This window comes from Homo sapiens, chromosome 9, assembly GCF_000001405.40.
Source record: "Homo sapiens chromosome 9, GRCh38.p14 Primary Assembly".
Classification (NCBI taxonomy): Eukaryota; Metazoa; Chordata; class Mammalia; order Primates; family Hominidae; genus Homo; species Homo sapiens.
Window position 1 is genome coordinate 132,956,174 of NC_000009.12, and position 26,203 is coordinate 132,982,376.

At 47.1% G+C, this 26,203-nt stretch overlaps 1 protein-coding gene and 2 pseudogenes across 8 annotated transcripts in view; all 3 read left to right on the plus strand.

The window, feature by feature from the left end:
• GFI1B (growth factor independent 1B transcriptional repressor) overlaps positions 1–26,203 on the plus strand; it is a 47,904-nt gene that overhangs the window by 10,643 nt on the left and 11,058 nt on the right. For 5 of the 8 annotated variants that reach the window (XR_007061360.1, NM_001371908.1, NM_001377304.1 and 2 more), the window contains exon 1: positions 22,521–22,668. The gene's annotated coding sequence lies outside the window, so the exon portion shown is untranslated. Of the gene's footprint in view, positions 1–16,551; positions 16,574–18,843; positions 19,032–20,287; positions 20,423–22,333; positions 22,669–23,102; positions 23,645–26,203 lie in introns of those variants that run through there. The other 3 variants (XM_006717297.4, NM_001377305.1, NM_004188.8) reach the window with 2 other exon arrangements.
• On the plus strand, positions 6,289–6,598 carry RPL39P24 (ribosomal protein L39 pseudogene 24; annotated as a pseudogene).
• Positions 7,560–7,620, plus strand: RNU7-21P (RNA, U7 small nuclear 21 pseudogene; annotated as a pseudogene).

The window sequence follows — 26,203 nt, forward strand, 5'->3', positions numbered from 1 at the left end:
GGAAAGCAAGTTTCTTGGCCTCTTAAGCTGTGATTTTCTTGTTGTTTTTTAAACTGTTGTAAGGTAAAACTTTCTTCTTCCAAAGAAAAGCTACTATCATACCCTTTTCCTCCACCTCCTTTTGTTATTATTTTTTTTTTGGCAAAGAAAAACATTGATGTAGATTAGAGAACTGTCATTTCCGTGAATCGTCTTCTAAAAAGCTTTGCTTAGCAGGTAGACCAGAAAATTTAAAAATCATGTGTCAGCATAGGATATGAATGTTGGCAAAAGTGACAGGCTGCTCAAAAAATCCCAGGAAATATCCTAAAGGTGCCAGTCCCAGACAGAGACTCCAGGAACCCATGGATGCTCTTCCATCCTTCCCTGCCAAAGTACAGCAGTTTGACTTCTCCAAGTGCACCCTTTAAAATGTACCACCTGTTGCTGGATCCATTCAAAATAACACATATATTTCAGGCCTTCCCTTTTGGGGAAGAATTTTGACCAAAGAATGCATTAGTTGTCTATTGCTGTGGAGCAATTAATTCTGAAATGTAGAGTTATTAGAAACATAGAATTGGAACAACACCACCTATTATCTCACAGTTTCTGTGGATCAGGGATATGGGTGTAGTTTAGCTGGGTCCTGTGGCTCAGGGCCCCTCACAAGGCTGCAGTCTAGATGTCAGCTGGTGCTACAGTCATCCCAAGGCTTGACAGGGGAAGGATGCACTCCTAAGCTCACACACAGTTGTTGACAAGATTCAGTTCCTTGTCATGTGGGCTTTTCCATAGGGCAGCTCACAATATGGCAGCTGGCTTCCATCAGAGAGAACAAAAAAGAGAGTGCAAATAACATGGAAGACAGGGTCTGTCATAACTTAGGCCTGCAAGTGTGCCATCCCATCACGTTTTCCATCCTATTCTTTAGAAGGAAGTCACTAGGTAGTCTCAGTGAGTGTCTAAGGAAGTTACTGCTCACACCCAATGAGAGGGGACCACACAGGTTGTAAATTTCAGGATTCAGGCATCTTTGGGGGTGATTTGCTTCCAATGCTTAGCACACAAACGTGCATGGCTTGGAAAACACCTTTCTCTAACGGCTGCGCTGACACCTTCAGACAAAATAGCAGATCCTTCTCTGGTCCCCACAGTACTCTTCTGTTCATACATCTACCATCCTAGTCATCACAGTAATAATGTAGCAGCTATGAGGAGTTGCTATGAGACCATATTGTTCTAAGCACTCTACATGTATTAAGTGAAGAGTATGTAGTCGTTTATGTGTCAATGCAGAGAAGCACTCATTCATTCAACAATGACATACTAGCATCTCCTCTGCATTTCTTTGCTGGGCATGGGGGAACTCAGTAGTGAACAAGAGAGAGTCCCCAGACTCAAGAACCTTATGAAGACCAGGATGGGAGATAGAGAAATGCAAGCACAATTATAATACAACCCAGAACACGTTGTCATAGCATAAGTAAAAGACACTTTAGTAGCAGACACCCAGACCATTTTTGTCGGTGGTAGCATTTCAATTCAGATATGAAGAGTAAGTGGCAGTTAGCCAGGAAAAGAGAGAGAAAGTTAGAAAGCAGGAACACGTGTAATAATAACAAGAATGAGAAAGGCAGGAGCAGCTGAGAAGCAACTAGCATGGCTGTAACCAAGCATGCTGGGGAAAGAGAGGCAAGAAATACTAATGTCAGCCAACAGGCAACATGCATTGAGTACCGAACAGTTTCCTATGGTTTTGCGTGCATATATTTACCTTCAGAATAATCCTATGCAGTAGGTGTAATTTTACAGGTAAGGGAACTGAGTCAGAGAGACTTGCCCCAGTCACCGGATAATCAACGTCTGAGTCATAACCACTGGAGACACAGTAGGGGCAGATCACGAGGGGTCATGTGAAGGTGTTTGACCTTGATCCTGAGCTCAGTGAGGAGCCTTGAAGGATTTTAATTGGGTCGACATCTGCTGGGGTGTAGAGAATGGGGCCAGGCCAGAAGGCAGGGAGGGGCTGTTTAGAAACAGGATGCAGTACTCCAGGGGAATGGTGATGACAGCCTGGATTAAGGTGGTAAGACGGGAGATAGAGGAGAAAGAGGATGTGTTAGGCCGTTCTTGCGTTGCTACAAAGAAATATCTGAGACTGGGTAATTTATAAAGAAAAGAGGTTTAATTGGCTCACAGTTCTGCAGGTTGTACAAGAACCATAGCGGCATCTGCTTCTGAGAAGGCTTCAGGAAGCTTCCAATCATGGCGGAAGGCAAATGGAAAGCAGGCACGTCACATAGAGAAAGCAAGAGCAAGAAAGAGACAGCGAGGAGGTGCCACACACTTTTAAATGACCAGCTTTCATGAGAAGTCATTCACTATCAAGAGGACAGTACCAAGAGGATGGTAATAAACCATCCGTGAGAAATCTGCCCCCATGATCTAATCACCTCCCACCAGACCCCACCTCCAATATTGGGGATTACATGTCAGCATGAGATTTGGGCAGGGACACACATCCAAACTATGTTGGAAGTTGAACTCAGGATTTTAGCTAGGGTGTGGGTGGTGCCATTCCCTGAGACATGAGGTAGGAACTGGGCTAGAGAACGTGGGCTGATGTCACTTTGGGACCAGCTCAATTGAGATGCCAGAGAGACAGGCCCAGTGGATTTGGAGTTTAGACTTGAAGGCAGAGGCCAAGATTTGGGAAGTGTTGGCATTCAGAAGGTAAATGAGAGACCAGGAGAACTGGCCATGGCAGCTGAGGGTGTGCAGTGGGTGAGCCGGGCCCTCTGGTGAGGACAGAGAGGGCTGGCCTATTGGGATCCTGGCTCTGCAAACAAGATGTGTGGTCCTGGGTGAGTCTCCAAGCCTCAGTTTCTCTGTCTGTAAAATGGAGATGACACTAATACCTTAAATTCCCAGCTCAGAAGGTTCCCAGGACAGTGACATGGTTTGGCTGTGTCCCCACCCAAATCTCATCTTGAACGGTAGTTCCCATAATCCCCATGTGTCATGGTAGGGAAACTGGGGGAGGTAATTGAGTCATGGGGGTGGTTCTCCCATGCTGTTCTCGGGATAGCGAGTGAGTTCTCACGAGACCTGATGGTTTTATAAGGGGCTTTCCCCACTTTGCTCGGCACTTCTCCTTCCTGCCGCCACTTGAAGAAGGACATGTTTGCTTCCCCTCCTGCCATGATTGTAAGTTTCCTGAGGCCCTCCCAGCCCTGAGGAACTGTGAGTCAATTAAACTGCTTTCCTTTATAAATTACCCAGTGCCAGGATTTCTTCACAGCAACGTGAGAACAGGTTAATACGGACAGTCCAGTGAGAGACACGTGTGAATATCTAGCAGAGTGCCCACGCAGTGTGAGCACTGAGTAAATATTGTTACTGTTGATGCCTGCTATATTCATTTCCCAGGGCTGCCATAACAAGTTACTGCAAACTGGGTGGCTTAAAACAACAGAAGATTATTCTCTCACAATTCTCGAGGCCAAAAGTCCCAAACCCAAGGTGTCAGTCAGCAGGGTTGGTTCCCTCTGAAGGTTCCGAGGGAGCAGCTGTTCCCTGGCTCTTTCTAAGCTTCTGGTGGTCACTGGCCATGCTTGGTGTTCCTTGGCTGTGGCTGCGTCAGCCCAGTCTCTGCCTCCATCTTCATGCAGGCTTCTCCTCTGTGTCCCTCTGTGTTTGCTCCTCTTCTTATGAGACCCCAGGCATTGTATTTAAAGCCCACCTCAACCCAGTGTGAATTCAGCTGAACCGAACTTCATCTTCAAAGACTCCCTTTCCAAATAAAGTCACGTTCTGCGGTTCCAGGTAGACATGAATTGGGATGAGGAGATAATTCAGTCCCCTATACCTGCTGGCAAGGAGCATGGACCCAGCAGATGACATGGGAAAGACTGATCCTACTCTGCTCAAGGCCAGGTCCAGCCCAGAACCACCCTACAAAGTGCTGCAGGAGAAAGACGTCAAAATTAGAGTGATGAGGGCAACTTACTGGTGAGGGTGAGACTTGAACTTTGCTTCTGGTTTCATCAAGAATTTGATCAATGGTGATGGAGCAGATGGGCTTTACGACAGTAGGACCCAGCTTGAGCAGAAGCAGGGAAGCAAGACCACAGAAGGCTTGCTTGCTTTATAAATGGTCAGGTGTAGGGAATAGGAGGCAAGAAAAGTCATGTATGAAGGACCCTGGGCTAAATAAGCAGCCTGGGCTATATCTGTAGGCAACGCAGAACCCCTGGAAGTTTGTGAGTTCAGGAAAGAAGGAAAGAGCTGTCTGTGGAATGTTGTCAAAGGCTTCATCTTGACATTGATGCCTGCCAATTTTATTTATTTATGTATTTATTGAGACAGGATCTCGCTTTGTCCCTGCTTGGAGTACAGTGGTGCGATCATAGCTCACTACAGCCTCGAGCTCCTGGGCTCAAGTGGTCCTCCCAACTCAGCCTCCCAAAGAGCTGGGAATATGGGCATGTACCACTACACCCGGATACTTTTTTTATTTTTATTTTTTTAGAGATTGGGCCTAACTATGTTTCCCAGGCTGGTTTCGAAGTCCTGGTCTCAAGAGATCCTCCCACCTCAGTCTCCCAAAACATTAGGGTTACAAGCATGAGCCACCGAGCCTGGCTCAATTAAAATTTAAAATTCTGGGTGTTTTGTCTTCTTGGGTAGGCCACCTCCTCTCTCAAATCCCTGATCACGCCTCTACACACCCCCAGCAATAAATTGTGCCGGGCCACACTCCGCAGCGTGTTGGATGTTAAAGAGTTTCATGGTCACCGTGAGACCATTTCTCAGTCCCCCAAGCAGCAGCATTCACAGCTAGAGGTTTTATTTTAGCTGCGCCTCCCCTGAAGCATATGCAGTGACCATTTGGAAAAAGATAAAGTTAGATCCCTCTCCACACCCTACACCAGAATAAACTTTAAGTGTCAAAAGTGAAATCATACGAGTGCAAGAAGAAAACATGAGTGAATTCTGTGTAATCAGGAGTGAAGAAAACCTTTCTAAAAATGGCTGAACAGTCAGAAACAATAGAAGACCGATAAGTTAGGCGACCTCAAAAAACCAAAGCAAAACAAAACAAAACAAAAACCTTTTCCATGGTAAGAAGAAAGCAAGCAGAGCAAAGTCAGAAGATAAATGATAGACGGAGAGAAAACTTTTGCAACTTATATCACAAACGGCCTCTCTAATATACACAGAACTATTATATCACAGTCTTAATTGTGAAAAGTCAATTATTTGACAAAAAAAAAAAACAACAGAAAAAAGGCATAAATGGAAAGTTTTCAGAAAAATGTAAGTGACCCTAAGAAGTATGAAAAGACAGCCTCACTCAACATAAAGGAAACACAAATTAAAACTACCCTGGGATGCCCTTCCTCCTGTCCTATCAGATTGGCAAAATACCTCTCATTTTTTTTTTTTTTTTTTGAGACGGAGTCTCGCTCTGTCGCCCAGGCTGGAGTGCAGTGGTGCAATCTTGGCTCACTGCAAGCTCTGCCTCCCGGGTTCACGCCATCCTCCTGCCTCAGCCTCCCCAGTAGCTGGGACTACAGGTGCCCGCCACCACACCTGGCCAATTTTTTGTGTTTTTAATAGAGACAGGGTTTCACCATGTTAGCCAGGATGGTCTCGATCTCCTGACCTCGTGATCTGCCTGCCTCAGCCTCCCAAAGTGCTGGGATTACAGGTGAGAGCCACCGCACCCGGCCAAAATTCCCCAAATTTGACAACCCACCTTGCTGGCAAGGCTGTGGGAACAAATCTACACTTCTGGGAGTGGGAGGACAGGACTGCACACCCTCTCTAGACAGGAATTTGGCCATATCTAAGGCCATAATGTGTGCATTCTTTCTTTGCTATGCATCTTCCCTACACACCTACACTCTACACACACACACACACACACACACAACCCTACACTCACACATGTGTGCATACAGAATTGTTTTTTTTTTCTTTTTTTTTTTTTCTTTTGAGACAGAATCTCACTCTGTCACACAGGCTGGAGTACAGTGGTACCATCTCAGCTTTCTGCAACCTCCACCTCCTGAGTTCAAGCAGTTCTCGTGGCTAAGCCTCCCAAGTAGCTGGGGCCACAGATGCGAGCCACCATGCCTGGCTAATTATTTGTATTTTTAGTGGAGACAGGGTTTCACCATGTTAGCCAGGCTGGTCTCAAACTCCTGACCTCAGGTGATCCGCTCACCTCAGCCTTCCAGAGTGCGGGATTACAAGTGTGAGCCTCCTCTCCTGGCCCATAAAAGATTCTTTCTTCTCTCTCTCTTCCCTTCTCTGCTATCGTGGTGTGTGTTTGACTCTGCTTCTCGCCATGTCTTCTCACAAGACTTTGAGGATTAAGTGATTCCTGGCCAAGAAACAAAAGCAAAAATCATCCCATTTCCCAGTGGAATCAGATGAAAACTGGTAATCAAATTAGGTACAACTCCAAAAGGAGATATTGAAGAAGAACCAAGCTGGGTCTATAAGGAATTACACATGAGATGACACACATATTATGTTCTATCAAGGTCACCATCATCACCATATCAAGCTGAAAATGTCACCATATCTGGACAGTTTGACATGTTTTATTAGGAATACATTTTTGACAAGGCGCAATGGCTCACGCCTGTAATCCCACTAATTTGGGAGGCCAAGGCGGGTGGATCACTTGAGGTCAGGAGTTTGAGGCCAGCCTAGCCAACGTGGTGAAAACCCATCTCTACTAAAAATACAAAAAAAAAAAAAAAAATAGCCAGGCGTGGTGGCACCAGCCTGCAGTCCCAGCTAATTGGGAGGCTGAGGCAGGAGAATCTCTTAAACCCAGGAGACAGAGGTTGCAATGAGCTGATATGGCGCCACTGCGCTCCAGCCTGGGCAACAGAGTGAGACTCCATCTCAAAAAAAAAAAAAAAAAAAAAAAGGAATCTATTTTTTCTCTTTGTTTACATGTTGTACACTAGTAGGCTGGGTTCAGTATTACATATATGGGAACTTTCATTTCAAAAAAATATTATTGGTCAGGCGTGGTGGCTCATGCCTGTAATCCCAGCACTTTGGGAGGCTGAGGCGGGCAGATCACGAGGTCAAGAGTTCAAGACCAGCCTGGCCAACGTGGTGAAACCCCATCTCTACTAAAAATACAAAAATTAGTGGCATGTTGTGGCACGCACTTGTAGTCCCAGCTACCCAGGAGGCGAAGGCAGAATAATCTCTTGAACCTGGGAGGCGGAGGTTGCAGTGAGCTAAAATCACGCCAGATGCATTCCAGTCTGGGCGACAGAGACAGATTCCGTCTCAAAAAAATTATTATTATTATTATTGTTATTATTATTTTCCCTTGAGATGGAGTCTTGCTGTCATCCAGGCTGGAGTGCAGTGGCGTGATCTCGAACTCCTGATCTCAGGTGATCCAGCCACCTTAGCCTCCCAAAGTGCTAGGATTACAGGTGTGAGCCACTGCACCCGGCCAAAAAAATATTTCTTATGGCATTATCTGCAAAAGTTGAATATTGGAGACAACCCAAATGTCAATTAATAGGGGACTGATTAGTGTTACAGTTCTTTTAGAATTTGTCTAGCAGGCTTTCTGGTTTTTGCCCAAAAGCCTCTCAAAAAAGTTTAAAAAAGAAAAAAAATAGGGGACTGATTGAATAAACTATGGCGCAGTAAGATGCAGAGATAAAAATGCGAATTTTGTCAAGAACCAAGATTTCCAATGTAAGAGAAAAGAGACACAAATATAAAATCAAGTATTTTTAAAAACCTATAATGCAGGCTGGGCATGGGTGGCTCACACCTGTAATCCCAGCACTTTGGGAGGCCAAGGTGGGAAGATCACCTGAGGTCAGGAGTTCAAGACCAGCCTGGCCAACATGGTGAAACCCCATCTCTACTAAAAATACAAAATTAGCTGGGCATGGTGATGCACGCCTGTAATCCCAGCTACTTGGGAGGCTGAGGCAGGAAAATCGCTTGAACCTGGGAGGTGGAGGTTGCAGTGAGCCGAGACCACGCCATTGCACTCCAGCCTGGGCAACAAAAGCAAAACTCCATCTCTAAATAAATAAATTAATTAAATAAAAACCTATAATGCTGAGAAATTACTTAACGGGTACAATATACACTATCTGGTGATGGATACACTAAAATACCAGACTTCACTACTATGCAATCTATGCATATAACAAAACGGCTCTTGGACCCCTTCACTGTATACAAACAAAACCCAGTAATGCTAAATTCAAACTGAGAATATCAATAGGAACTTGTGAAAATTGTCTGAATCAATTTTCAGCCACTTGTATTAAAAACCCTGACAAGAAGAGCCGGGGAAGGCCATGACGGGCGGGTTCTCATGCATCAATGCCTGGTCACAATCACTATCGCAAAAGATTTTGCAAAAACCACAACCTTGCACAAAGGCCGTCACAATTCTACACACACAAAAATACTTCTGTGAGGACATCTGCCCAGCAACTGCCTGTCCAGTCTTGAACTGTGCTACCCTTGTTACTGATCCTTGTAGCCAAGGATGATTATCTCAAAACAATTTTTCTTCCTTTTTTTTTTTTTTTTTTTTTTTTTTTTGATGGAGTTCCAGGCTGGAGTGCAGTGGCGTGATCTCGGCTCATTGCAACTTCTGCCTCCTGGTTTCAAGCGAGTCTCCGGCCTCAGCCTTCCGTGTAGCTGGGATTATAGGCACCTGACACCATGCCCGGCTAATTTTTGTATTTTTAGTAGAGATGGGGTTTCGCCATGTTGGCCAGGCTGGTCCTCATTTTTTCTTTAAAAACTTTTGCCTTCCTTTACCTCCCAGAATATGTACATATCAATAATTTACTATGGCCCCCATATTCCCATTGCAATGCCTATACCTGAATAAACATTATTTTCTTCTAGAGAGTCTTTCTCTCTGTTTGTTGTTTAGATTGACAAAGTCATAATTACAAAAATAAATTAAAAAGCATCGATTTCCTAGTTCTGAACACTGAAACAGCTTAGAGGCAGGTGCCCAGTAACAAGAACTCCTGGCCATGGCTTTAGATCCCAGCCCTCACTAAATAGAACTAGGCTGAAAGAACTGGCTGCTTCCAGAAATGCAGCAGGGGAAGTACAAGTGGGTCACCTTCTTGTGTTAGAAAGCAAGGACATGCTCGAAGATTGATTCGGAAATGTCAGACCCATACAGAAACTAACCTGGATGTGCTGTTCGTGACAAAATTTGAGGAAACCGTAGTGGGTTGAATAGTGGCCCCCTAAAAAGATAGGTCCAAATCCTAACACTCAGTACCTGTGAATGTGACCGTATTTGGGAAAAAGGTCTGTGCAGATGTAATTAATGATCTCAAAATGAGACCATCTTGGATTAGCCGGCTGGGTTCTAATCCAATGTCCTGTGTCCTTGTATAAGACAGAAGCAGGACGGACATAGACACGGAGTGGGAGGCCCCATGAAGGCAGAGGCAGAGATTGGAGTGGCGCAGCTCCAGGCCAAGGAATGCCAAAGATTGCCCGCAGCCAGCAGGCACTGGGAGAGAGGCCTGGGTCAGGTCATCCCTCGGAGACTCCAGAAGGAACCAATCCTGCCGACACCTTGATTTCCGACTTCCAGCCTCCAGAATTGACAGGCAAGAAATTTCTGTTGTTTTAAGCCACCCAACATGTAATTGCTATAGTGTCCACAGGAGCCATAAAATAGAATTTCTGCAATTTAATGTAAAATGTTGAATAAATAAAAATCCATGAGTTCTGGCACATGTTTACCTATGTAACAAACCTGCATTTCCTACACATGTATCCTGGAACTTAAAATTAAATTAAATTATTAAAAAAATCCATGAGTTCACAGCGATGCTGAAGTTTAAGGGGGAAAAGAGAATGGACAACAAAAATAGGCCAGGCACAGTGGCTCACGCCTGCTTTCTCAGCACTTGAGAGGTCAAGGCAGGAGAACCGCTGGTGTTCAGGAGTTTGAGACCAGCCTGGGAAACATAGTGAGACCCCATCTCTACAAGAAATAAAAAAATTGGTCAGGTGTGGTGGCGCGTACCTATAGTTCCAGCTCCTCAGGGGGCTGAGGTGGGAGAATCACTTGAGCCCCAGGAGTTGAGGCTACAGTGAGCCATGATCACACCACTGCACTTCAGCCTAGGCAACAAAGTGAGATCCTATCTCAAAAAGAAAAAAAAAAAGAAAAGAACAAGAACAAGAAAAAAGAAGAAAAAATCCCAGTTACATCACCTTGCTATGAACATCAGCAATTAAGGAGAGAAGACAAATCACTTACACTCTCATTTTTTAGAACTGTGGTTCATCCCCAGCTAATGAGAGAAAGCTCTTCTTTACAGATAATAAATGTAGAAGGAATGATAGAATTGGAAGAATAATAGTTTTGAAGCCACCAGTGATGTAATTGATTATAGCAAGGAGCTGCCATGGATGCTGAAACCAGTAGGGGAGACTGTGGAGAACAGGATGTTTGCTTGGCGACAAAGTCCTAACCTGCAGATTGCTTCTTAATTCAGTTATGATGGAGAGAACTGGGTGTCACCATTTTAACCAAACTCAGCATCACTAAGGTGGGACAACCTACTGTTAGATGCCTCCTGATGCAGTGAAGCCCACAGCGTCACCTGTGAAGTATCCGTGCCTAAAACATCTCATCTGAATCCAACCAAGCCTAGGACCTGACTTCCAGGACACAGTGAGGTCTTGAAAATAATGTTTATTCAGGAATAGGCATTGCCATGGGAATATGGGTTCCAAGACACAGAGTGCTAGGGTTTAGATGTCCTCTCCAAAACTCATTTTGAAATTAATTGTCATTGGGAAGGAATTAAGAGCCAGGGCCTTTGACAGGTGATTCGGTCATGCCCTCATCAGTAGATTAATGCTGTTACCATGGAGAGAATTAGTTCTTTGGGGAGGGAAGTTCAGCCCCCACCTGTACTCTCTCTGTCTTCGGTGCTTGCCTGCCCTTCTGCCTTTCTCCATGGAGTAATGCAGCACAAAAGCCCTCACCAGATGTGGCCCCTCAATCTTCCCAGCCTCCAGAACTGTGAGCCAAATAAATCTTTTCTTTATAAGTGACCCAGTCTGTGGCATTCTGTTATAGCAGCAGAAAATGGACTAAGACACAGCAGGTGGAGGAAGAGGTTAAATGGCACCATGACAAAACAATGAGAAAATCCCAAATGCTGAACCTTCTACTGGACTGGCCTGGGCTCTTTTAGGGGGAAAAAATCATTACGAAAAGAAAGGGGCAGGGGGTGCTCTTCCATCATAAAGGAAGCTAAAGACATAATACACTCATGCAATGCTTGCAACTTGTCTGGATCCTGATTCTAAAAGAGGAACTATCAAAGAAAACTGGGGGAAACTGCAAAAATGTCCATATAGACTGGATATTCGACAACATTTGGGAACTATTGATAATTTTCTTAGGTACGATAATGACATTGTAGTTGTGTGATTATGTATGAAAGCAATATCCTTATGTTTAGGAGATACATGCTCCAGTATGGGTGAAGTGTCATGATATCTATTATATATATACACATATATACACGTGTGTGTGTGTGTATGTGTGTGTATACACATATTTTTCTTTTTTTCTCAGATGGACTCTTGCTCTGTCACCCAGGCTAGAGTGCAGTGGCACAATCTTGGCTCACTGTAACCTCCGCCTCTGGGTTCAAGCGATTCTCCTGCCTCAGCCTCCCGAGTAGCTGGGATTACATGCATGTGCCACCACGCCCGGCTAATTTTTTATATTTTTAGTAGAGATGGGGTTTCACCATGTTGGCCAGGTTGGTCTCGAACTCCTGATCTCAAATGATCCACCTGCCTTGGCCTCCCAAAGTACTGGGATTACAGGTGTGAGCCACAGTGCCCAGCCATTCTTTTATTTATTTATTTATTTATTTATTTATTTATTTATTTATTTGATTTGAGACAGTGTCTTGCTCTGTCACCTGGGCTAGAGTGCACTGGTGATCATAGCTCACTGCAGCCTCTATCTCCCAGGATCAAGTGATCCTTCTCCTCAGCATGCTGAGTAGCTAGGACTACACATGCATGCCACCACACCTGGCTAATTAAAGAAAAATTTTTTTTTTAGTAGAGACGAGGCCTCACTACATTGCCTGGGCTGGTCTCGAACTCCTGGGCTCGAGCAATCCTCCCACTTCAGCCTCCCAGAGTGCTGGGATTACAGGTGTGAGCCACTATGCCTGGGCTGCAATATATGTATTTTTAACATTTTATTAAAGTAAAATATAATTGTATACACTTAGATATGCATAGGGGACAGAAAGCATATCTGGCAGATGCTAACTATTGTTGAATATAGGTAGTAGATATTGGGGTGTTCATTAGATAAGATTAATTCGCTTTTTTGTTTGAAATTTTATATAATATAAATGTTTAAAAAATATTTGAAGGTCAAAATATAATTAGAATATTCGGTAAGAAGAGTCTGAGATCCTAATCGCAAGGTAGGAACATTCCCTGGGTTCTAGATCTTACTTCACCCCGCTGTACCTCTGCTTTCCCCATTTGTGAAAATGAAGGCCTCAGAGGCATGGAGGTTTTGTGGTTTTTATCAATTAATTGTTATAAAGTACACAGAACATACAATTTATTATCCTAATTATTTTTAAGCGTATAGTTCAGTGGCATCGGCTTAAGTACGTTCATATCAGTCCACAACCACCACCACAACCATCCATCTCCAGGACTTTTTCATCTCGCAAAACCAAAACTCTGTCCCCATTAAATACAAACTCCCCAGTCGCCTGTCCCCCAACCCCTGGCAACCACCATTCCACTTCCTGTCTCTATGATTTGTTTTATGTTTTTTTTGAGACAGAGTCTCACTCTGTCTCCCAGGCTGGAGTGCAGTGGCATGATCTCGGCTCACTGCAACCTCTGCCTCCCGGGTTCAAGCGCTTCTCATGCCTCAGCCTCCTGAGTAGCTGGGACTACAGGCGCGCACCACCAGGCCTGGCTAATTTTTTTGTATTTTTAGTAGAGACTGGGTTTCGCCATGTTGGCCAGGCAGGTCTTGAGCTCCAGACCTCAGGAGATCCGCCTGCCTCAGCCTCCCAAAGTGCTGGGATTACAGGCGTGAGCCACTGTGCCCGGCCTGTCCCTATTATTTTGACTACTCTAGGTAACTCAGGTAAATGAAGTGACCGTATTTGTCTTTTTGTGACTGGCTTATTTCACTTAGCATAACGTCCTCGGGGTTCATCCAGGTTGTTGCCTGTGTCACAGCCTCATTCCTTTCTAAGGCTGAATAATAATACTCCGTCGTATGGACCAACTACATTCCATGTATGCATTCATCTGTCACAGACACTTGGGTTGCCTCTACCTTTTGGCTGATGTAAATAACACTACTGTGAACACGGGTGTGCAAAGATCTTTCCGCGTGCCTTTCAGTGCGTTTGGGTCTATACCCGTGCGTGGGATTGCTGGAACTGGGTGAGATGATTTGTAAAGGACTCTTTCCTGTTTTCCAAATGAGCTTATTACAAGGGCCCCTTTAAAACTGCAAACCATTCATCTTGCAGAAATGTGTTAACAGACCACTTTCACAAGCCCACTCTCCCCAGCATCTCCATCATCCTTGGTGAAAGGAACCTCTTTTCATCACCCTGACTCTCATGGGTTTTGCTAAAAAGCAGCAGGAAGAGAACAATGTTCATCCTTCAGGGAAAATTTCATGAAACAGTTAAAATCTCCGAAGGCGGCCGGTACATGCAAAATAGATGTAAATCGCGTGCAAATCCTGGCTGCTGGAGGGCTCCCTGGTGTTGATTCCCCCACCTCAGCCTCCCGCCTTCCAGCACATTCTTAGTGCTGATCAGTGTTGAGAAGGAACCCCATCGATGGGAGAAGAGAGGGATCTTTCCTAAATGGGTTTTTTATTCCCAAGTCTTCTGCAAAGGGGTGCACATTCTCTGAAGTCTTCCCACAGTGCTCTTCATTTCCTTATATGTTCCTTTGAGGTTTTGCTTCCTGGGTCTGGAGACTGGAGCCAAGCCCTGGGTCCAAGCCTCCCTGACCCAGACAGGAGACAGGGCCTCTCCCCATCAGTAGCCACAGCAAGCTCCTCTGTTTGCTGAACCTGCCCAGACACCAGGCCAGTACCTGCTGGGGGTGCTACTCGAAGGGGCTTGACTGGGGAGGTGAGGACCCACTGGGAGATTTGTACCCTCCTAAGGCTGGCTAATGAACACACACGCACGCATGCACGCACGCACGCACACAGAGAGAGAGCTTGTTGGGAAGAGCACAGAGTTGCATGCATCCATGGCCACGCTTCCTGATCTGTGACGTGCAGTGTGGTGCTCATCAGAAAAGGTTGGCCAGGGGGGTGTGTCTGTGCCCTAGTGGATCAGGCAGATTGCCCCTACTTATGTGGTTGACCATAGCGCCAGCCCTGCCTGGGGGTTGGTTCTTGGTTTTCCATCATATGCTCGGTAATTTCCTGCGGCAAAATGCTCCAAAAGACTAAGAGATGAGGCGTATAAAGCCCCTCCACCCTGTCTGGCCCAGGGTAAGCTTCAACAAACTTTCATTCGCTCCTCCTTCATCTCTGCAGCCTCAGAGTGGGATTTCTGTGAGTCTCTAGGGAGAACACCAATGCGGAAGTCATCAAGAGTTTATGGGGCGGTAACCAAATGTCAGGTGTTTCATTAATAATCAACCTGCCATGTAAATTAGCACCACTCACCTGATAAGAATCAAGCTGACATCACCTAACCCTAACCCTGCCGCAACTAAGACTGCTCTTAACCATCCAGTTAAAGAGAGAAAGGGCAGAGTTTTATAGTCAGCTGTTGAATATTTCTGCTGAGAAATAATAACTCACTATTTTGCCCAGGCCAGTCTTGAACTCCTGGGCTCAAGCAATCCTCCCACGTCAGTCCCCAAAGTGCTGGGATTATGGGTGTGAGCCACTGCGCCCGGCCCAGATGGACTTGTCAATCTTCTTGTTATTTCCTAAACTTAGAAGTGGGGCCCATGGGTTTGACACCCCTGCCAGGGTTTCTGGGGAGCTTCAGGCAGGCCTGTGGCCTGAACGCTGTCCTGTACTTCACCTGCACCCAGAGTCCCTGACTCCCACCCAAGTTCCCTGTGTCCCCCCCACACTCCTTCCATGCTTCTCTGAGGCACACCAGCCATCTCGAGAAGTGGATGCACCCCAAACCTCACCCCATGGCCTCCCACCTGAATACTGCCCTTCCCCATCTGAGGTTCCCTAAGACAGGAGGGTTGAAGGGACTTCAACTTCCAAGCTGGGGGAGTTGTCATCTGCCTGTGTGGTTACTCAAAAGCAAAGGGTCAATGTGGATTAATTTGAATTGAAAACATTATAAACACATACAAGTGGGAAAGAGAGACAGGAAAAGGGAAGCAGGGAGGAAAAGAGGGCAAGAGAGACAGAAGGAGAGACAGAGAAAGAAACAAGAAAAATAGACTTCAAAAACGTTACTGTTGGCCGGGCATGGTGGCTCACGTCTGTAATCACAGCACTTTGGGAGGCTGAGGCTGGCAGATCCCTTGAGGTCAGGAGTTCGAGACCAGCCTGGCCAACATGGCAAACCCCTGTCTCCACTAAAAATACAAAAATTAGCTGGGTATGGTGGCACGTGCCTGTAATCCCAGCTACTAGGGAGGCGAAGGCAGGAGAATCACTTGAACCAGGGAGGCAGAGGTTGCAGTGAGTTGAGATCATGCCACTGTACTCCAGTCTGGGTGACAAAGCAAGACTCTGTCTAAAAAAAAAAAAAAAAATTGGGTTGGGTGTGGTGGCTCACGCCTGTAATCCCAGCACTTTGGGAGGCCGAGGTGGGCAGATCTCATGGATTTAGGAGTTTGAGACCAACCTGGACAACAGAGCAAGACCCTGTCTCTACAAAATTTTTAAAAAATAATTAGCCAGGTGGCCAGGAGTAGTGGCTCATGCCTGTAATCCCAGCACTTTTGGAAGCCAAGGCAGGCAGATCACTTGATGTAAGGAATTCAAGACCAGCCTGACCAACATAGTGAAACCCCGTCTCTACTAAAAATACAGAAATTAGCTGGGCGTGGTGGCGGGCGCCTGTAATCCCAGCTACTCGGGAGGCTGAGGCAGGAGAATCACTTGAACCTGGGAGGTGGATGTTGCAGTGAGCCGAGATTGCACCACTGCACTCCAGCCTGGGCAACAGAGCTAGACTCCGTTTCAAAAACAAACAAACAAAAATTAGCTGGGTGTGGTGGTGTGTGCTTATGGTCCTAGCTACTCGGAAGGCTGAGGCAGGAGGATCACTTGAGCCCAGGAGGTCGTGGCTGCAGTGAGCCATGATGGAGCCACTGCACTCCAGCCTGGGCGACAGAGTGAGACTCTGTCTCAGTGAAAAAATAGTTAATGGGGATGGGACACAGGTGCATATTCTTCTTTTTCTTATTTCAACTCTGATCATATATTACTCTTGTAATTCAAACAGCATGTACCTGTACACAGATAATTATTTTCACTTTTTTCAGGCTGGTTTTTGTTCGAGGAAAGGTAGGCAGGAGTGCCACCGTGTGGTGGGATGGTGAATTGCTTCCCGTGTGGAGCGGAGCGCCTGGGTCGTAGGGTGGGGAGTCGGAGGGCAGTGCCAGCCCCGACGACAGGCAGGGTTTGCAAGCCGGGCTCCCGCACGTCGACTGCCTGCAGCCCCCGGTAAGGAGCCTGGACCTGGAAAGAGGTCCGTAGCCGCCGATGACCAGGTGGACGTTTCCTACTTGGCCTGCTGCCCACTGCTGTCCACCCTTCAGCGCACTCGCAGCGGGACAGAGCCAGCAGGCACTTTTCTGGCACCAAGATGTACATAGAGCAGACGAGCCCCAATGCCCAGCCGGCTCTCTGGGAGCCCCTGGAGGGCAGGGACCACCGGGTCCATTGTCCCATTCCCAGGACTGTTGGGTTCAGCTCATGACCGTCACATTCTGTGGCTGTCCTGGGCCAAGGCCAGAAGCTGCCCAAGTTCACACAGCCGATGCCTGGGAGTGTCGTAGCCCCGGTGCCACCCGGCACAGAACATTCACCCCCAATATCCCACGACCCCCGCACAGAGCTTCCCCAGCCCACCTGCACCTGCCGGAGCTGTCCTTATAGAGGGCCCGTGGCCCGGCCTCAGCAGTGGTGGTTCCCATGTATTCAGCCCTGATATGGTCCCTGCAGGCCAGCGTGTGTGCTGAGGCCCGGCCCACGCCCGTTGTCCACAGACAGAGGACCCCATGACGTTCCTGCCCTTAAGGAGCCCCCAGTCTCACCGAAAAGCAAGTGAGGCCCCATGAGTAACCGAGCAAGACAGGAATCCAAGGGTCGTCACGGGTGGGCCAAATCTGTAGACAACAGATGACTCCCTGGATTGTGGGGCGTCTGGGAGGGCTTCCTGGAGGCGTTGAGAGCTGGATTGAGCTGTGAAGGAGGGGGCTGAAGAGAAAGAACCATTCCAGACAAGGGGAACAGGTGAGGCAAGAAAGGACACAGCATATCCAGGTGATAATGAGAGGACAGTTAGAAGGTAGAAGATAGAAGCCATGGCTCCAAACGCCTCTCTGGCCTTATTCTGTTTAATGACAGCTGTTGTTCCTGCTCAAACCCACCTCTTCCTCTACACTTAAGCAACCTCATGGTTTTGGCGGGAAAGTCTGCCAGCCCCGGCCAATGAGAGGCCCATATCCCTCCCCCTGGGCACAATGATTGGTGCTGGATGTGCTTGTGACCAGGCTGGGCCAATCAGAGTCAACCCTAGCAATCTTTCTGAAACAATTGAGGAGGAATCTCTCTTTCCACTGGGGTTCCTAGGCCCAGAGATAAGAGCCGCATAAAGTGGGTAGAGATCATGGCGTGAGGATGAGGCCAACACAGAGGGAAGCAAAGCCGAGATGATGGAGAGAGAGTCATTCATTCATTCATTTATTCACTCTGTGAAGATATCATTAGTGTCTCCCAAACACTGTTCTAAGCCCTGGAGAGTCTAAGCCCTGAGCTGTGTGCCTGGAAAAACAGTTCCTGCTCTTGTAGCATGGACATTCCTTGTGGGAAGTTAGAGCAATAAATAAATGAATTAAAAGATAGGAAGATGGCCAGGCGCGGTGGCTCACACCTGTAATCCCAGCACTTTGGGAGGCCGAGGCAGGCAAGGATCACTTGAGGTTAGGAGTTTGAGACTAGCCTGGCCAACATGGTGAAACTCTATCTCTACTAAAAACACAAAAAAATTAGCCAGGCTTGGTGGCGGGCACCTGTAATCCCAGCTACTCGGGAGGCTGAGGCAGGAGAATCGCTTGAACCTGGGAGAAGGAGGTTGCAGTGAGCCGAGATTGTGCCACTGCCCTCCAGCCTAGGCGACAGAGCCAGAATCCGTCTCAAAAAAAAAAAAAAAAAAAAAAGGGAAGACAAGCAAGATATTTTCAGATAAGTGTGAATGCTAAGAAGAAAGGGGTGGGTGAAGGAATAGAAAGTGACTGGGGTGGGGAGGTCCTACTTTAGTTGAAGGTCAAGGAGGTCTTTCTGCAGAAGTAACATTTCCGCTAAGACCTGGATGACAAGAAGGAGACAGGCTTGGGGAAATCAGAGAGTTAGGCCATCCAGGCAGAGGGCACGAGAAGTGCCAATGACCTGAATGAGTGAGATTCCAGACAGTATCATTTGAGCATCTGGATCCAACCATGTCAGAAGCTGAAAATTTTCTGTGACATGAATTAATTGTTTCATTGTTATTATTAAATGAGTTTAAATTGTGTTTCTGTACTGGGCACGGTGGCATGCACCTGTAATCCCAGCTACTCAGGAGCTTGGGAGGATTGCTTGAGACCAGGAGTTCAAGACCAGCCTGGGCTACAGAGCAAGACCCCATCTTTTTGAAACTTCCTGCAACTCGCATCTGGAAAAGTGCTGTTATTTGAAAGGGTGCCGACATTGTGAAAAACACGGAGTATTGATCTCTGAAGCTGAGATTTTTGTCCTAAAGGTAAAGGGAAATTATTGAAGGTTTTTAAACCAGGGAAGAATCTTCCTGATCTTTGTTCTTTTTCTTTCTCTAGGCTCAGCTCTCAAAAGTCCTAACCTTCCCTCCCCTTCCTTCAGTCTGCGTTTCTTCCCTAATGAACTTGGCTGCTGTCAGCTCCCTTCAGGGGACCTCCAGCTCTTAGCACAATGCTGTTCTTCTTTGAGACACTTTTCCCTACCTTCCTTCTCCCAACTAACTTAGCCTAGGCATCAACTTAGATATCACTTCCTTCACCAACCCCCCCAAGCCTGGGTCCATTTCCAAATGCCCCAGGCTTCTTTTGTATACTATGTTTATATCACAGCACTTGTCACCCCAAATTGTAAATTTCAGGTTGCTCTTTCCTACCCTCTAGACCAGGAAGGAATATGAAAAGTCCGGCTGTTTTTTGAAACCCCAGCATGTGGTGCCTTGTTGTGGGCACTCGATACACATGTGTTACATAAGGGAGGGAAGGAAAGAGCTGATACACGAAAGGTACCTAATGGTAACTGTTAAATGAATGAATAAACTGATGAATGGGCATGGGAATGCGGAAGCGATTTAGCTCTTGGGAGAGACTAAATGAAGGTGTTGACTCCAGGGCTGCTCACTAAGGGAAGTGCTGGTAGCTTTACAGGCAGCCCTGGAGGGGACACAGAGCATGGGAAGTCCAGGGCTGTAAGGGCCTGGGTGAGGCTGGCTGGGGACTCCTGGCTTCAACTGCTATGCCAGGGGACTGGCTGCCTGGCCACTGCTCTCCCATCAAGGGGAACCTGGGTGGCTTCATCTGCAGGCTGGGTCCCTGGTCTGGGTCTGGGAAGGCTGTCCCTGTGTCAGTTACTCACGGGGGAAGGTAGGGACCCTAAAGTGGGATTACAATCTTAGAACAGCAGTTGAACTGCATGTGCCTGATACAGCCGCTTCCTATTAGAAAACACCCTAAACAAGTGGAGGAAGCGTTTGGTGAGATAAACCATGAAACCATTAAAGATTTAATGGTGAAACCATTAAAGATGTCAATAAAGGCTGCAAACGAACTTAGGAAGCACTTCCATAAAATCATGTTTCACGGAAAATGACACGCTGGTTTACAGTAGCAAAATGTGTGTATGTGTGTATAGGGAAGTGAGAACATGAGGAAACTGGGGACTTGTTGACTTGGAGAGAATATTTTAAGTTTTCTGCATAATGACAAGCAGTTCTAGCTGATTGTTGGCAATGTACAACACCCACAGAATACTCAAGATGTGTCCCTGGCTGGGCACAGCAGCTCGTGCCTGTAATCCCAGCACTTTGGGAGGCTGAGGCAGGAGGATCGCTTGAGGCCAGGAGTTCAAGACCAGCCTATTGTGAATAGTACCACTATAAATGTAAGTGTGCAAATATCTCTTCGATTCTGCTTCCAGTGATTTTGAGTCTATACCCAGAAGTAGATTCACTCACTTTTGACATTGCATTCTCTGAATTTTAGAGGAGACATTTGAGAACTTCTAAATTTCAAATAAAAATAATGATTTAGACCAGACTGGACAGCATAGCAAGACCCCATCTCTAAAAAAAATAAAAAAATTAACCAGGCATGGTGGTGCGCCTGTAGTCCCAGCCACTCAAGAGGCTGAAGCAGGAGGATCTCTTGAGCCAGGGAGGTCGAGGCTGCAGTGAGCTATGATTGCAACACTGCACTCCAGTCTGGGCTACAAAGCCAACTCCTGTCTCTAAGAAAATAATAATAATAATAATAATTTTCTTGAGACAGAATTTTGCTCTTGTTGCCCAGGCTGAAGTGCAATGGTGCGATCTGGACTCACCGCAACCTCTGCCTTCTGGGTTCAAGCAATTATCCTGCCTCAGCCTCCTAAGTGGCTGAGATTACAGGCATGTGCCACCACACCCAGCTAATTTTGTATTTTTTGTAGAGATGGGGTTTCTCCATGTTGGTCAGGCTGGTCTTGAACTCCCGATCTCAAGTGATCCTCGCCTGCCTCGGCCTCTCAAAGTGCTGGGATTACAGGCGTGAACCACTGTGCCCAGCCAATAATAATTTTTTAAAAAGATGTTTCTTTCCACCAAGAGAGACCACAGAGCTGGGAGCAGTGGTCTGCTGTCTGTAGCCTGGGGCTGGGACTGACACCCCAGCATTACTGAGGCCTGGTGACCACAGGGTTGTGTCCTCCTGGCTGGTGCTCCAGGGCTGGCCCAGCAGAAAGACCTCGCCTGAAACACCCCTTTTTCTTCATTTTGAACCTTGGACTTGCAGTTTAAATTGGGGCTTCCTGTCACCAGACTTGTTTTCTTTATGAGGGAAACATAATATCTCCAGCACCCGGGCTGGAAGAGCAGACAAAGCAGCCTAACAGTGCTCTGTTTGTGGCGTTCTCATCTTATGCAAAACCTCCTGAAATAAATCAGTCATCCTGCAAGCGGGAGGAGGCGGGGGCCAGAGGAGGAGGGAGAAGGTGGGGAGCCAGGGGATGGGACGCCCTGCCAAATGGGAAGAAATGCCCCAGCCAGCTCAGCCAAGCTTTACCGCCCTCACTCCCCCCAGCATCAATGGGACACCCCAGAGGCCCCCACTGGCCTCCCCATCACTTTGTCTGCCACCAGAGGGCAGCACACACGGGCTCTGGCACCTGGCCTTCAATCTGTATGGCAGCTTCAGCAGGCCGAGCGTCTCCTGGCCTCCGAACTCACTGCCACACCTCCAGGGTGCCTCTACCCGCTCAAAGGTCATATCTGGGGGAAATGCAAATTTGATGTCTCTTCTGAGATATGACCTCTGCAAGGACAAGAGGGGCCTCTATGCATGTGGCCGGCTCGGGTACTAGGGGCATTGCACCAGCCTGGCTCTCACAAGCCTCAGGGTGCTGAACTTGGGGAGGGAGGGAGGGGAGGAGGCAGCGAGGAGGGAGGCAGGGAAAAAAGGAGGGAGGAAAGGAGGGAAGAGAGAGAGAGGAGAGGAGGAGAAGGAGGGAGGGAGGGAAGGAAAGAAGGAGGGAGGAAGAAGGAAAATAAGGAAGGGAAGGAAGGAGGCAGGGAGGGAGGAAGAAAGAAAGGAGGAAGAGAAGGAAGGAAAAAGGAGGGAAGGAGGGAAGGAAGAAAAAAGGCAAGAGAAAAGAAAGAAGAAAAAAACCAAAGAGCAATGACTTCCCTATGCAAAATCGAGTTTTATAAGTTAGAGCTTTTTCTAACTTTAATTTTTAAAATTTAATAATTTAGCCATCACTTTCTTTTTGTGCAGATGTTATTCAAAATTTCCAGCGAAATTCTGAATTTCTCTGCAGAGAGAAAGCGTGCCGCTCCAAGTGTCGAGGGTTAGAAATGAGAATTCGAAGTCTTGTGTCCTGGAAAGTTTTGATAAGCAAATACGGCTGAGCTCCCGCGCTCTCTTCATTGGCTGCTTGTTCACCGCCAGATTTTGACACAAATAATCAGATTGAAAATCAGGGAGGGGAACAGAAGAGGAAAAACACACAGAGAGACAGAGCAAAAAGGAGAAGTATCTATTTGTGCAAAGAGTCACACAGTTGACAGAGTGGAGGCCAGTCCCGAGAGAGGCTTTGCAGTTCCCACCTCGGGAAGCTCCGGCAGAACCCAGGCGAGGGACAGCTCCGGACAGGTGAGTGCTGGAGGATGCGTTTCTACGCTTTTGTTTTGAAATGTGCCTGTGCGCCGCAGGTGGCTTCACAGCAGGCTCCCTGGCTCCTCCTGCGGTCCTAGGAAAGGTGAGGTGGGCTGGAAAAGCTCTGGAAGGCAAGGAGCCAAGGGAGAAACAGGGTGAGGACGTAGCCTCGTCTGAGCCACTGTGCTAGGAATTGCGCCTTTGCCGGCTGCGCAGAAACACTTTTCAAAATTTGATTTTAGGCTGACAGACGTCACCTTCGGGCACAAAGTCATACCCACAACCCAGCTGTCCTGGGGACCTGGGCAGTGCTCAGGGAGACACACTTCCAAGTGCCTGAGTTGTGTTCCCCCTCGGAGACAGTCCCAGACTTTAGGGACTTGACTAAAGTTCCTGGGACACTTTTTTTTTTTTTTTTTTTTTTTTTTTTGAGACAGAGTGAGACTCTGGAGCGCAGTGGTGCGATTGCACTGAAACCTCTGCCTCCCGAATTCAAGCGATTCTCCTGCCTCAGCCTCCCAAGTAGCTGGGATTACAGGCGCGTGTTACCACGCCTGGCTAATTTTTGTATTTTTAGTAGAGACGGGTTTCACCATGTTGGCCAGGCTGGTCTCGAACTCTTGACCTCAAACGATCCACCTGCCTCAGCCTCCCAAAGTGTTGGGATTACAGGCATTAGCCACTGCGCCCAGCCAAATTCCCAGGACACTTTGAGAGTCAGGCGCTCTCCCCTCCAGAGCCTACTAAGGGGAGATGACAGGGCTGCCCTCTCCCACACACTGCCCAGGCTCCAGGAACAATAGGACCGACCATGGAGAGGTACTGTTTCAGCTCGCCTTTCCCTGTGGCTGTTGTTAGCCCTTTCCACCTATTTTTGGAGAAAAAAAACCAAGTTTAAGTGTTGAGGCATCTGAGGAGACATGCTCACTCTAAAACAGGACTTGTGAAGAGGAGGTCTGCAGAATCGCCGTGGGTATGTGCCCGTGTACATTTTTCCGGGGAGAAAGTCCAGAGCTTTCACGAGTTCTTAGGGAGTAAATTCGATTACAATCTGTGGGCATGAGTCTGGTAGATATTAGAAGCCAGCTGAGCTGCACCTGACCGCCTGGACGCGCCTGCATGTTTCTTAGTAGGCAACAGGCAGAATATTTCTTCCAAGTCTAGCAAAGTGTCAAGTTTCTTGTCCTCGGAAGTATTGCAGAAGGAATTCTTTGGACAAGAAAATGCGTAATTCCCCTTGCTCTTTCTGTCAGAGTTTGGTCTTCCTGAAGAGAGTTCTTGGGGAACATTGGAGAGCTATACCTGGTTTCGGTTTGATTAATGGAATCACTCAAAACCAGCGCAGACCATTGCCCCGAAGCTTTCAGCGGGGCAGGGTAGGGTGGGTGGGAATCTTATTGGACAGTACAAGGATTTTCAAAGGCTCTGGGACCAGATGGCTCCAGATCACCCAGGGAAAACAGCCTGATCAAATGGGATTCTTCACTGTCTGTGCCACAATATCCAGACCCTTGGTTGAAACATCAGCAAACACCACCCCCTCTTAGTCTAGAGGGAGGCTTTTCGTGTGTTCCTTGCCAGGAATTCAAGCCAATGGGAGCTGCTTTAGTCTATAATATAGAGATATGCAGAAAGAGTTTCATTCACTCACTTGTCTTTTTATTTTGATAAAATACATATAACATAAAATTTCCCGTTTTAGCCATTTTCAAGCGTACCATTCAATGGTATTAAGTACACCCACATGGCTGTGCAACCATCACCACCATCCATCCACAGAACTGTTTCATCTCATAAAGCTGAAACTTCATACCTATTACACAGTAACTTCCATTCCCTTCCCCTCACCTCTGGCAACCTCTATCTATTTCTGTCTCTATGAAATTGCCTATTTTAGGGACTCATATAAGGAATCACACAGTATTTGTCCTTTTGTGATTGGCTTATTTCACTTAGCATAAATCCTTCAGGTTCATCCATGTTGTAGCATGCGCCAGCATTTCCTTCCTTTTTAAGGCCGAATAATGTTCAATCATATGTCTAGACCACATTTTGTTTGTTTGTTTGTTTGTTTGAGACAGAGTCTCTGTCACAAAGCTGGAGTGCCATGGTGCGATCTTGGCTCACTGCAACCTCTGCCTCCCGGGTTCAAGCGATTCTCCTGCCTCAGCCTCCTGGGTAGCTGGGATTACAGGCACCCACCACCATGCCTGGCTGATTTTTGTATTTCTAGTAGAGGTGGGGTTTCGCCATTTTGGCCAGGCTTGTCTTGGAACTCCTGACCTCAGGTGATCTGCCCACCTCGGCCTCCCACAGTGCTGGGATTACAGGTGTGAGCCACTAAGTCTGGCCATAGACCACATGTTGTTTGGACATTCATCTGCCATGAAACCTGGGTTGCTTCCACTTTTTGCCTATTGTGAATAGTGCTGCTATAAACATGAGTATGCAGATATCTCTTTGAGTCTCCCCTTCCAATGATTTTGGGTCTATACCCAGAAGTAGATTCACTCACTTTTGACATTGCATTCTCTGAGCTTTGGAGGAGACATTTGAGAACTCCTTCTAAATTTCAAATAAAAATGATGATTTAGACCGGCCTGGGCAACATGGCAAAACCCCGTCTCTACAAAAAATACAAAAATTAGCCAACTGTGGTGGTGCATGCCTGTAGTCCCAGCTACTCGAGAAGCTAAGATGGGAGGATCGCTTGGGCCTGGGAGGTGGAGGTTACAGTGGGCCAAGATCAAACCACTGCACTCCAGCCCAGGTGACAGAGTGAGACTCTGTCTCAAAATAATAATAATAATGATGGTGATGATGATGATGATTACTTTCTGCTGGGGCCCCTGGGCCTGACCTGGGCTCATTTTCCCCCGACTCCTCCACGGACAAGTCTTGTTTTCCCCTTGAATCTTTTTTTTTTTTGACAGAGTCTCGCTGTGTCACCCAGGCTGGAGTGCAGTGGCGCCATCTGGGCTCACCGCAACCTCCGCCTTCTGGGTTCAAGTGATTCTCCAGCCTCAGCCTCCCGAGTAGCTGGGATTACAGGTGCCTGCCACCACACCCAGCTAAGTTTTGTATTTTTAGTAGAGACGGGGTTTCCCCATGTTGGCCAGGCTGGTCTTGAACTCCTGACTTCAGGTGATCCGCCTGCCTTGGCCTCCCAAAGTGCTGGGATTACAGGCGTGAGCCACCACGCCCGGCCTCCCTTGAGTCTTTAAACATAAAGGAAGTCAAAAAGGTTCTCTGTAGCTGACCCTGAGAACCAGCTGAGTCTTACCCAACCCTCCCAAAAGGGGAACCCGAGTGACAAGTCTTTTAGTCAAGGTGGTTCAATCTCTCACTGAAGGTCAACGAATTCTACATGGGATTTTAGAGCAAAAGGGAAGTTTAGAAATCTCTTAGCCCAACCGTCCCTTTTAAGAGATAGGAAAACCAAGCCCCAGGTTGGTGGCTGATGCGGTCACAAGCTCCAGGACCCCAAATCAGACTCAACTCCTTGGGCAACAAAGGGGCCTCATTACAGGGA